Source organism: Homo sapiens, chromosome 17, assembly GCF_000001405.40.
Source record: "Homo sapiens chromosome 17, GRCh38.p14 Primary Assembly".
NCBI lineage: Eukaryota > Metazoa > Chordata > Mammalia > Primates > Hominidae > Homo > Homo sapiens.
The window spans coordinates 76553807-76565361 of NC_000017.11; the positions used below are offsets into that span (position 1 = coordinate 76553807).

The 11555-nt window shown below is 46.5% G+C and overlaps 1 long non-coding RNA gene and 3 other non-coding genes across 7 annotated transcripts, besides 4 other annotated features; all 4 read left to right on the plus strand.

The window, feature by feature from the left end:
- Nucleotides 2989-3088: an enhancer, noted in NCBI's record as "active region_12811". NCBI's record gives its function as "activates an Ori minimal core promoter by ATAC-STARR-seq in GM12878 lymphoblastoid cells {active_cell/tissue: GM12878}" and the evidence as "EXISTENCE:reporter gene assay evidence [ECO:0000049][PMID:35858748]".
- Nucleotides 3578-4378: an enhancer, noted in NCBI's record as "NANOG-H3K27ac-H3K4me1 hESC enhancer chr17:74553466-74554266 (GRCh37/hg19 assembly coordinates)". NCBI's record gives its function as "activates a minimal SCP1, AML or CMV promoter by ChIP-STARR-seq in naive H9 embryonic stem cells {active_cell/tissue: H9 hESC(naive)}" and the evidence as "EXISTENCE:reporter gene assay evidence [ECO:0000049][PMID:30033119]".
- Nucleotides 3779-4038: an enhancer, noted in NCBI's record as "active region_12812". NCBI's record gives its function as "activates an Ori minimal core promoter by ATAC-STARR-seq in GM12878 lymphoblastoid cells {active_cell/tissue: GM12878}" and the evidence as "EXISTENCE:reporter gene assay evidence [ECO:0000049][PMID:35858748]".
- Nucleotides 3958-11542, plus strand: SNHG16 (small nucleolar RNA host gene 16). Of its 4 annotated transcripts, none has more exons than NR_038108.1 (4): nucleotides 3958-4051; nucleotides 5139-5237; nucleotides 7482-7596; nucleotides 9313-11542. It is a non-coding gene; the product is annotated as a small nucleolar RNA host gene 16 (long non-coding RNA). The 4 variants fall into 4 exon arrangements; NR_038109.1 differs by having other exon boundaries at nucleotides 7482-7592; NR_038110.1 differs by lacking the exon at nucleotides 5139-5237.
- Nucleotides 4379-5180: an enhancer, noted in NCBI's record as "NANOG-H3K27ac-H3K4me1 hESC enhancer chr17:74554267-74555068 (GRCh37/hg19 assembly coordinates)". NCBI's record gives its function as "activates a minimal SCP1, AML or CMV promoter by ChIP-STARR-seq in naive H9 embryonic stem cells {active_cell/tissue: H9 hESC(naive)}" and the evidence as "EXISTENCE:reporter gene assay evidence [ECO:0000049][PMID:30033119]".
- On the plus strand, nucleotides 4984-5063 carry SNORD1C (small nucleolar RNA, C/D box 1C). Its single transcript, NR_004397.2, has one exon. It is a non-coding gene; the product is annotated as a small nucleolar RNA, C/D box 1C (small nucleolar RNA).
- SNORD1B (small nucleolar RNA, C/D box 1B) lies at nucleotides 7302-7387 on the plus strand. The gene has a single exon (NR_004396.1). It is a non-coding gene; the product is annotated as a small nucleolar RNA, C/D box 1B (small nucleolar RNA).
- Nucleotides 7827-7900, plus strand: SNORD1A (small nucleolar RNA, C/D box 1A). The gene has a single exon (NR_004395.1). It is a non-coding gene; the product is annotated as a small nucleolar RNA, C/D box 1A (small nucleolar RNA).
- Nucleotides 11543-11555: the final 13 nt, after the last annotated feature.

Genomic DNA, 11555 nt, shown 5'->3' on the forward strand with positions numbered 1-11555 from the left:
TCTCCCTATGTTGCTCAGGCTGGTCTTGAACTCCTGGGCTCAAGTGATCCTCCTGCCTTGGCCAACCAAAGTGTTGGGATTATAGGCATGAGCCACTGCGACCAGCCCAAAGACTGTTTTCTATTACTGTGGGTTTCAGATACCATGTCTTAAACGCTGTCAGTGACCACCCCAATACAGCAGGCCAGCTGACTGGATTTTCCCTTTGTACTCAGAGCCTGGGTCCCTGAAAAGCGCTGGGGACTTTTGCTTTCCTGTTTGTAAAGAGTCACTAGACTGTGACTCTTTCCATGTCAATAAATAGAGGTCTGCACTAGCCTGGTATAAAGGCTGTATAATAATTCCACGGTAGGTAAAACTCAAATGTCCTAGCTCTCACCAGCAATGAGTGCAAATGAGATCACAGTAACATCCACATTTCAGTCTCAACAGCTCTGAGCCCTTGCCGGCTCATTCAGGAATTCTGATGCATTCTCTGAAGTCCCCCTAGTTATTTCTGGGTTGGCTGCACAGTGTACTTTACATGTGCTCGGCACAAGGCCTCTCATTGTATTTCGCTCCAGCCTCTTGGCCACTGCCCAGCTGCCCTGGCATCCCCATCTGCCATGAACCTGCTGTTGGGGAAGCGATGTCCAGTCAGGTGTGAAAGCAACTTGGTGGCCTGCGGCAGAGTGAAGAGCTGTAAAGAATGGCCCTCACTATACACTGGGTGGCATCCAGGCCCAATACAGCCCTGCTAGAGCCCAGAGCCTCCATCTTCCACACATCAGCTCTGCAGCCTCCCATCCTCACTCTTCCTGCCACGAAGTGGCTCAAATGGCAGAGCAGGTGCCCATTGTTCCCCCTTTCAACCTCATTTCTGATTTTGTCCCCAACCACCCCTACAAACACATGAAAATCTTCTTCCTTCTCCCTTCCTCCCCGAAAACAAAAGTCCTTATACATAAGGTCACCTTATTCATTAGCGGTAAAAGCATGGATTCTACAGGCTGGGAGCAAACCCTGACCCTGCCAGTTACTGGTTATGTGAATTTGGGCAAGTTACCGAATTTCCCAGTGCTTCTGTTTCCTTATCCGTAAAATGGGGACAGTGATAGTGTTACCGGAGAGGAGTCCTGATCCAGACCCCAAAAGAGGGTTCTTGGATCTTGAGCAAGAAGGAATTTGGGATGTCTATAGACTAAAGTGAAAGCAAGTTTATTAGAAAAGTAAAGGAATAAAAGAATGGCTACTTGGCCAGGCATGGTGGCTCAAGCCTATAATCCTAGCACTTTGGGAGGCTGAGGCAGGCAGATCACTTGAGGTCAGGAGTTCGAGACCAGCCTGGCCAACATGGTGAAACCCTGTTGCTACTAAAAATACAAAAATTAGCCGGGCGTGGTGGCGTGCGCCTGTAATCCAGCTACTCGGGAGGCTGAAGCAGGAGAATTGCTTGAACCCAGGAGGTGGAGGCTGCAGTGAGCCGAGACAGCAGCACCACTGCAGCCTGGGTGACAGAGCGAGACTCTGTCTCAAAAAAAAAAAAAAAAAAAAGGCTACTCCACAGAGCAGCCCTGAGGGCTGCTGGTTGCCCATTTTTATGGTTATTTCTTGATTATATCCTAAACAAGGGGTGGATTATTTACGCCTCCCATTTTTAGACCACATAGGGTAACTTCCTGATGTTGCCATGGCATTTGTAAACTGTCATGGCGCTGGTGGGAGTGTAGCAGTGAGGACGACCAGAGGTCACTCTCATCGCCATCTTGGTTTTGGTTTTGGTGGGCTTATTTACTGCAAACTGTTTTATCAGCAAGGTCTTTATGGCCTGTATCTTGTGCCGACCTCCTGTCTCATCCTGTGACTTAGAATGCCTTAACCGTCCGGGAATGCAGCCCAGTAGGTTTCAGCCTCGTTTCACCCAGCTCCTATTCAAGATGGAGTTTTCTGGTTCCAATGCCTCTGACAGTAGTACTTCATCGCATTGTGAGGATTAAACGAGTTCATACATGTACAGAAACCAGTATAGGGAATGGCACCTGGTAAGTGCTATGAAGTATTAGCTATCATTACTATCTTGTCTACAGTAGGTCACCAGCCCGCTAGCAGCTTTTGGGAAATTCCACACTTAGAATTCCCACTGTAAGTCTCAAATGAAAGGAACTATGTTTGCAGGGATAGAACACATTCTTCCTTTCAGTATTACACAAAATAACGTGTCTTCAAGGGTAAGGTAGAGAAACCTAATGGCCAGAATTACTGCTGAATGAATTAATGATTATTTGCTGAAGACTTACTGTGAGCATAGCAGGTAAATACCAAACCCTGCACTGTTAAGAAATTAAAAAGAAAAAAATAAAAATAAAAAGAGGCTGGGCGTGGTGGCTCACGCCTGTAATCCCAGCACTTTGGGAGGCTGAGACGGGTGGATCACCTGAGGTCAGGAGTTTGAGAACAGCCTAACATGGAGAAACCCCATCTCTACTAAAAATACAAAATTAGCTGGGCGTGGTGGCGCATGCCTGTAATCCCAGCTACTCAGGAGGCTGAGGCAGGAGAATCACTTGAGCTTGGGAGGCGGAGGTTGCCGTGAGCCGAGATCGTGCCATTGCATTCCAGCCTGGGCAACAAGAGCAAAAGTCCATCTCAAAAAAAAAAAAAAAAAAAAATAATAATAATAATAAAAAGAGACTTCTGCTCTTGAAGAGCTTACAATCAAATGAAAGGAGGTAAACATAAGCAAATGTGGTAATTTGAAGATAAGTATCTGCAACATATTACCATCTGCAGGACAATATAACCCACACCGAAGGCCACAGAGATCACTGTTAATGGGTGGATGAGAACAGGGAGACTGGAATGGAGAAAAGGCTCTCGGTCTTGCAAACTTAAACTAGCTTTCAAATAGGTGCAAATTCTGGCCCTGATTGTTGATGTCGTTTTTGCCTTATTTTTATTTCAAAAACGAAGCCAGACCGGGCGCAGTGGCTCACCTTTGTAATCCCAGCACTTTGGGAGGCCAAAACAGGAGGACTGCTTGAGGCCAGGAGTTTGAGACCAACCCGGGCAACATAGTGAGACCTCATCTCTGCAAAATAAAAATAATCAGCTGGGCGTGGTGGCGCTCGCCTGTCGTCCCGGCCACTCAGGAGGCTGAGGCGGGAGGATCACTTGAGCCCGGGAGGTCCAGGCTACAATAAGTTATGATTGCACCACTGCACTCCAGCCTGCGTGCCAGGGTGAAACCTTATCTCAAAAACAAACCAAAAAAACCCAGAAACAAAAAAAAATGAAGCCAAGGTGTTTGCCTGAAAAATAACACTCAGAAGAGCAGTGGGTGTTACATCATTCTCCGTTCTTTTCGTAATTCAGCTCGTGACACTTGCCTTTTTTTCTCTTCTCGGAATGCCCCGGGCCCCTGGGCAGCCGCGGAGGCCGAGCCCCGTCGCTCTCCAGCGCTCCTTGCCGCCCGCGCCTCGGCTTCACCGGCCTCGCCCCAAACTTAAAAACACCTGAGCAGGAGGTTGAACGATTCCCTCGGAATCTCTCCTCTTCACTAACCCAGCGAACCACCCCAAATGCCCCTATCCTCCCCCAAATAAAATCCGCAGAGCAATTAACAAAGATACTCGGCCAAGCCCCGGTTTCCTCATCTGTCCCTGCCCCCTCGAACTTTCTGTGCTTCCCCAGTCTCGACCAGGGACAAACTGTGTTGAAGCTCAATGACTTTCTGGCAGAAGTGAACCTCCAGCTTCGTTTTCTGACAGCCGTGGTTCTTCACAGGCCTGGTTTCCCACTCCGGACCCTCCACTGCCCCTGGTGGCGGCCACCATCTTACCCCCAGCTCCAGGGTCGCGCTGAGGACGCGGCCAGCCCCCAGCCGCCGTAGTTTTGAACTACATTTCCCACCAGCCCTTTCTCAACATCGCGAGAGTTCCGGAGAGATTGCCGAGAAGACTTGCGCGCAGGGGCGGTCTCGCGTTCTTTTCGAGGTCGGCCGCGTGGCTGGAAGACATGGCCACTCCAGTCGGTGTTGAGCACGGCGAGCAGTCTCAGGCCTTTAGTGATGATGGTAAGGCTGCCTGGGTGGGAAAACGGGGTCTTCCTTGACACGACACTAACATACTTGGCTTCCCTTCCTCAGAGACGAAGTGGTGACGATAATCTCGGTTTCTCCCTCATAGGGTGGTTAGGAGGGTTAAAAGTACTGGATGAGAAAATGCTTTCCAAACGTTGAGAAAATGTTACTATGTGAAGGGAGAGAGCTCAAGCCCGTCCTCGGCGTCATAGGGCCGGCTTCTGCGGGGGAGAGCGCCTAACAACCTGGGCAGCCCCGTGCGCCTCCGCCGCGCGTGTGCTGAGCGTCATGCCCAGGGGTCTTCGGTGCCCGCGCACGGGCAGACTCTGACGATGGTGGTTCTTAATTCAGCATCAGGAGTGTTAACGTGTGAAGACGTGATTCCGCTTGGAGTGTCTTGAGGACGGCCCCAATCGGTAGTTCATATTTAGCTTTACAGATAGGAGTCAATAGGATTGTAAACTTCTGGAAAGCCGTAGTTTTAACAACGAGCCTTTTTTCCTCCCCCAGAGGCCTTTCTTTGTTTGGCATCTGCAGAGACGGTGAAAAGCAGAGCTCCAGGTTGAAGGATCAGAGTAATAGATGGAGCCCTTAACATGAGTAAGAGTGGGTGCAGGCAGGGCCTGAGTGGTCACTAGAAATGAGAAAGCACAGTTGGTGCCATCACATACATTCACCTCCTGCTTTATTCTGAAGTTCAAGTATGAGAATACGTGTTGACATACAAGCCAGCTATGGTAAGAAATTACTCAAAATTCAGAATGCTAATTATTTTAATGATAAAAATGAGTAGCGTCTTTGCCCGTGTGATTTGGGGCCACTAGGTGTCATTGTAACCAGCGTGGATCCTCGTTAGGGCATGCAGGGATGAAAGAGACATGGCAAATGAATTTTGGATCGCTAGGATTTAGGAATCTTTGTTATTGGCTGAGCTGAGGATGATTTAAAGTTATCCCTGTCTGAAATGGTATCTTTTGTGAGGAGGTCTGACTTGCTGAGGCTCAGCTGTTTAATACAAATCTGGAGAATAAACCTTAAGGTGGTTTCTGTTAGAATGAAGCCTGTTATCCTTCTCTTTTAGATTAAAGGTGGTGGCTGTGGCCTTGAAAACAGTCATGTGAAAACTCATCACCTTAAGGTGTTAAGTGTAAGGATCTTCATGATGAAATTTCTGTAAATGGTGAGATTTTTAGTACTTTCATAGACTTGAATATGCTTATGGTCCTCTTTAAGTATTGGTTTGTTAGTTTTGGGGATGTGTTGGTCTTCCAGGGTTACGATTGCCCAGATAATGGAAGTAGTATGGAATTCCTTTTGATAGGGTCCTTGCCAAGCACTCTCATAAAGAGCATTTTTTGTTTGTTTGTTTTGAGACAGAGTTTTGCTCTTGTTGCCCAGGCTGGAGTGCGATGGTGCGATCTTGGCTCAGCGCAACCTCTGCCTCCTGGGTTCAAGCTAGTCTCCTGCCTCAGCCTCCCAAGTAGCTGGGATTACAGGCATGCACCACCACGCCTAGCTAATTTTGTGTTTTTAGTAGAGACGGGGTTTCTCCATGTTGGTCAGGCTGGTCTTGAACTCCCGACTTAAGGTGATCTGTGCTGGGATTACAGGCGTGAGCCACCTTGCCTGGCCATAAATAGTATTTCTAATATCAACCCCATATGAGGTAAATTTTTTTCCCCACTCTGCTGCTGAGTAAGTAAAAGTGAGGCGTAAAGAGTTCTTTTGCCCAAAGTTATACAAGCAGTTACTGAGTTAGACTGGCAGTTCTGAACTGGGGAGCGATGGTGTTCCTGGCATCTGGTGAATGCTACTATTAATAAATACCCTGGCTGGGCCTGGATATTTATCTCATGCCTGTAATCCCAGCACTTTGGGAGGCCGAAGCAGATGGATCACCTGAGGTCAGGAGTTCGAGTTCGAGACCAGCCTGGCCAACATGGTGAAACCTTGTCTCTACTAAAAATACAAAAATTAGCTGGGTGTGGTGGCGGGCACCTGTAATCCTAGCTACTTGGGAGACTAAGGCAGGAGAATCTCTTGAACCCAGGAGGCAGAGGTTTGCAGTGAGCTGAGATGGCACCATTGTACTCCAGTCTAGGCGACAAGAGCGAAACTCTGTAAATAAATAAATAAATAAATATCCTACAATGCATACAACAGCCTGCATGAGGAATAATTGATCCACCCAGTATGTCAGTAGAGCTGAGGTTGAGAAACTCCTGTATACCACACGTTAGGCTAACTAGAGATCTGAGCTCTAGTCTCAGCCTATTTTCTCACCAGAGTCTTGTTTCTTCATTTGTGAAACAGGGTTAGTGATTTCCAAACTTGATTATTACATCAGAGCCACCTACAAAGTGTTAAAATATACACATTCCTGGGCCTCACCTCCAGGCATGGGTGAGAATGGCTCTGGAGTGGAGTCCAGGAATCATGTGGCCAGTCCAAGAGCAAGTGGGTAGTAACTAGATCAGGGGTGTCAATCTTTTGGCTTCCCTGTGCCACATTGGAAGAATTGTCTTGGGTCACACATAAAATAAACTAACACTAATGATAGCTGATGAGCTAAAAAAAAAAAATCTCATAATATTTTGAGAAAGTTTACAAATTTGTTGGGCTGCATTCAAAGCCGTCCTAAAGTTTACAAATTTGTGTTGGGCTGCATTCAAAGCCGTCCTGAGCCACATGCAGGCTGTGGGTTAGACAAGCTTGAAGTAGATGATCTGATCTGTTTTTAGTGCAAGGATTTTATTATAGTGAGATTATAGTGCTGGCTATTTTTAAGTAGCTCTTGGGCAAATCTCTAATCCTCTGTCTTAAAAAACTGAAAGCCTGGAGGGCACGGTGGCTGACACCTGTAATCCCAGCACTTGGGGAGGCCGAGGCAGGTGGATCATCTGAGGTCGGGAGTTCGAGACCAGCCTGACCAACATGGAGAAACTCCGTCTCTACTAAAAATACAAAATTAGCCTGGCGTGGTGGCGCATGCTTGTAATCCCAACTTACTTGGGAGTCTGAGGCAGGAGAATCACTTGAACCCGGGAGGTGGAGGTTGCAGTGAGCCGAGATCGCGTCATTGCACTCCAGCCTGGGCAACAAGAGTGAAACTACTTTTCAAAAAAAGAAAGTCACATGCTTGCTCCACAAAGAATTTGCGTGAGGGAAGTGAACAATTTGATGAGAAAAAAATAGTTTGCGTGTGCTGTGGCTGTTAGTGCTATGGTCCAGCAGGTTGGTGGGAGCTGAGTCCATGATGATTTCAAGTTATCCCTGTCTGAAGGCAAAGAAAGGCCTTTCTGTGTGGAATTTGAATATCTGAAACTCAGTTTCCCAAGTTTGCCTTACAGAAATTTTAAGTTACTTGAGAGTTACTCTGTGTGTATCTTCTTAAGTAGTTTTTTTTCTTAATTTCTCTTCCCAGGTGCAGTCAGCCTCAGTTTCCAAAGCCGGAAAAGGATCCTCTAGTAGCCACGGTGTGGCAGCTGCTCTGAACCAGGACCTGGACCCGGACCCAAAGTGCCATGTCTTTAATGTGAGTAAGTAGACGAACTGGTAAACAGGCTTGGTTTGGTTTGGGGGAGTGGTAATCTTTTTTGCTTCCCCTGCTCTGGACTTAAAGCAATGGGGGCAGGGAGACTTTAGTAGCATTTTGTTGCTAGGTGTCTGCAATAAGAGACGAAACTGAACTGCTTTGCCGGAAACAAGTGAAATGATTGCTTTCCTGTTTGTAAGATTTGTTTACATCTTTCGTATCCGTAAGAAGTCCCACAAGCCTATGATGGTTAGTTATCCCTGTCTGAAAATCTGGACTGAGGGAAATAATCTATTCTGAGGCTTAAGGGTTTGGCTCCATGGTTTTTTTTTTGTTTTTGTTTTTTTTCCCCTTTTTTTTTCCCTCAGCATATCCTGCTGAGAGCCCAGTCTAGAGCATCATTCCTCTAAAACGTGAAAAGCAAATGAGTGATTGTCCTGCTTTCTCTAGTCCTTTGATTATGGCTCTGAGGATACAGGCTGTATGAGGTGGCAGGAATGCACAAGTACCCAGGATTTGATTTATGCCCTTATTGTGGAATGAAAGTGCTTGTTACATATTTCAAGAAAATGAATGCGCTCTTAGAAACAGATTGGAATGTAGGATGTATGCCAGCTTGTGGCAATGAGAATGCTTAATGACTCTGACCTTGCCTCTGCTCCAGGGTCCTGACATTTAGGGGAAACCACGGCTGTTTGGTTTCTATGTGCTTTGTTAAGGACGCCAGGGAGGTCTCCTAAGTTTGTAGCTTAGATCCTGTCTGAATGTCACGACTGGCATGTGAGCAAGAAAGAAACCAAGTGGTGCTGGAGAGTGGGGTGCCCAGCTTTGTTCCCACTGGAATGCCAGGCTTGAAGTGCACACAGATTGCCTTTCTTTTCTGTTGAAAGGGGAGGTGTGGGCCGGGCGCGGTGGCTCACGCCTGTAATCCCAGCACTTTGGGAGGCCGAGGCGGGTGGATCATGAGGTCAGGAGATCGAGACCATCCTGGCTAACAAGGTGAAACCCCGTCTCTACTAAAAATACAAAAAAATTAGCCGGGCGCGGTGGCGGGCGCCTGTAGTCCCAGCTACTCGGGAGGCTGAGGCAGGAGAATGGCGTGAACCCGGGAAGCGGAGCTTGCAGTGAGCCGAGATTGCGCCACTGCAGTCCGCAGTCCTGCCTGGGTGACAGAGCGAGACTCCGTCTCAAAAAAAAAAAAAAAAAAAAGAAAGGGGAGGTGTGTGCAAACTCTTTGTATTTAAGGTTGTGTTTTTGCTGGACACCAAAGAAGCTGTATTCTGGGTGAGATTTAATGAGCCTAAAAACTGGCCCCAGTAGTTTACAGCCTGCAAGTAAAACAGTGAAAAGGGTAGCTTATCAAGTGGTTATTGTCTGCTGAGTGGACTTGACTACAGAACTCAAGTAAACCATAAGATTTGACTTGAAATGTTTCTATCCAGAGGGAGTGCTTTCTGATAGTTGTTTACTGGCCTCTTACCAGAAACTGCTCCCTCAGAGATACTGTCTCCTTAAAATGAGTCATCCTGGATCTCCACCAGCCTGCACCAAAATGGTGTGATAGTGCCCCGTTACGCTCCCCCAACGCGCACATGCCTGCCGGTGGTGAGAGTGAGTGCTCTTGGACTGACTGCCTGTTCTCCCAAATTAGTTGTTATATAGCATTCAGTTTTGAGTCACTTCCTTGGCTGTTACTTCAAATTATTCTTCTGTTTTATAGGTTAGCTCCCAGCGATGCCAGATGGGATCAGCACAGCCCTGCCTCTGCTGCTAATTGTTCCTCTAAAGTAATCGCCATGCGTTCTTTGGGCTTCATCTTTAAAGGAATGAAGCAACTGAGATTATTCTGGAAAACCTTTTGGCAGTTAGTGAAATTAGAGTACAACTAAGAACATTTTCAGACCTCCACTGTGGATGACCTGGGTATAATCTCACAAATCGATGGGACTGCAAGGATTGTAAACTGAAATGAACATGATTATACTCTGTTGGAAGAGCCTAAGAGGAAACTGATGCCATGAGTTTCAGAGAGTAATGCTTAACCCCAGTTACACAGGATGCCGTCTTGTGTTTCCTCTTGTTTAGTTACCCACTACAGTGATTTTGTGATCTGCTAATGGGTTGCCACCCACAACCATTGCTTTAGCACTTTTACTTCAAATCAATGAAGGATTGATAAAAGTTCTCCTGGTGTCTCCGCAGAGTGCCTTCCAGGAACAGATCTTTGCATAGAATATCAGTGGTTTCCTTTTTTGTTTCAAATAGTGGTCAGAAAATACCCAGTGTTGACTCACCAAGGCAATCAGCTTCCTTTTTCCCTTTTTTTGTTTTTTTTTTAACATTTTATATTTTTGCTTTATTTTATTTTATTTTATTTTATTTTATTTTATTTTATTTTATTTTTTGAGACGGAGTTCCACTCTGTCGCCAGGCTGGAGTGAAGTGGTACAATCTTGGCTCACTGCAACCTCCACCTCCCGGGTTCAAGCAATTCTCCTGGCTCAGCCTCCTGAGTGCTGGGACTACAGGCGCGTACCTTCTTTAGTAGAGACTGGGTTTCACCATGTTGGCCAGGATGGTCTCTATCTCCTGACCTTGTGATCTGCCTGCCTCAGCTTCCCAAAGTGCTGAGATGACAGGTGTGAGCCATCAGACCCAGCATTTTTTTTTTTAATTTAAATTTAAATTTTTTTTCATTTTTTTGAGAGGTTTTTTTTGTTTTGTTTTGTTGTTGTTGTTGTTGTTGTTTTTGAGACAGTCTTGCTCTGTCACCCAGGCTGGGAGTGCAGTGGCATGATCTCTGCAACCTCTACCTCCCAGGTTCAAGCAATTCTTGTGCCTCAGCCTCCCAAGTAACTGGGACTACAGGTGCACGCTACCACACCTGGCTGATTTTTTTTGTTTTAGTAGAGACAGGGTTTCAACCATGTTGCCCAGGTTGGTCTCAAACTCCTGAGCTCAGGCAATCCACCCGCCTTGGCCTCCCAAAGTGCTAGGATTACAGGTGTGAGCCACCACACCCAGCTATTTTTTCTTTCGTTTTTTAATTTTAAAGTTGGGGGGGGGTCTCAATTTGTTACCCTGGCTGGTCTCGAACTCCCGGACTTAAGCGATCCTCTGGCTCCAAGCCCACTACCAGTCTCAGGTTTCTTTACTAAAAGATCACTACCTTTTTTTCTCTTATCTGCTGCCATGTGAGATGTGGCTTTCACCTTCCGCCATGATTGTGAGGCCTTCCCAGCCATGTAGAACTGTAAGTCCAATAAACCTCTTTTGTAAATTAAAAAAAAAAAATCACTATTTAAGATACTAGGATGGATTGTGACTGTTGAGGAGTACTTACATATCCTACATTTGACTACATTATTTCCAAACCAAGTATTCCATCCAAAGGAACATACTGCTATCATAGAGACCAAGGAGGGACTGTTTAAGGTTGCCAAGGTGAAGCGAGCTGAGAGGCTTTGTCCTCGTGCCAGTAACTCTGAAATCTCTCTTAATTCCTGCTGTCCAGGCAGCAGAATGCCATGGTTTCCCCAAGTAGGTAGCTGCTTTAGCAGTTAAAGCCCAAATGTCTGTTCTGTTGATCAGAGGTCTCTGAATTTCTGAAGTGGTGTTTCGTTTCTGGTGACTGAGTTAATCCTTTACAATCCCTCTTGTAAAGTGTGCTAATAGAAAGAATCCACCTTTCAAAGCTGCAGAACCAGACCGTGCCCTAAATTGACCAACGTAACTGATGTGCCTCAGGAAGTCTCTTGCCAGCTGTCCCTGTGAAGACCCCCCTCCTCCCCCCCAGCTGCTGCCTTGCACACTGAAGCATCTCAGACTGTGCAAAGCCGTGTAGTCATCAAGACAGTAAATCCCAGGGCTTGGTTAAGTGCTGTGTGATAACTTGTTTGGATGAGACTTAACTTAAAACCACTTACAATAAACTTGGGAAACTACCGTCAGCTGAGTTCAAAT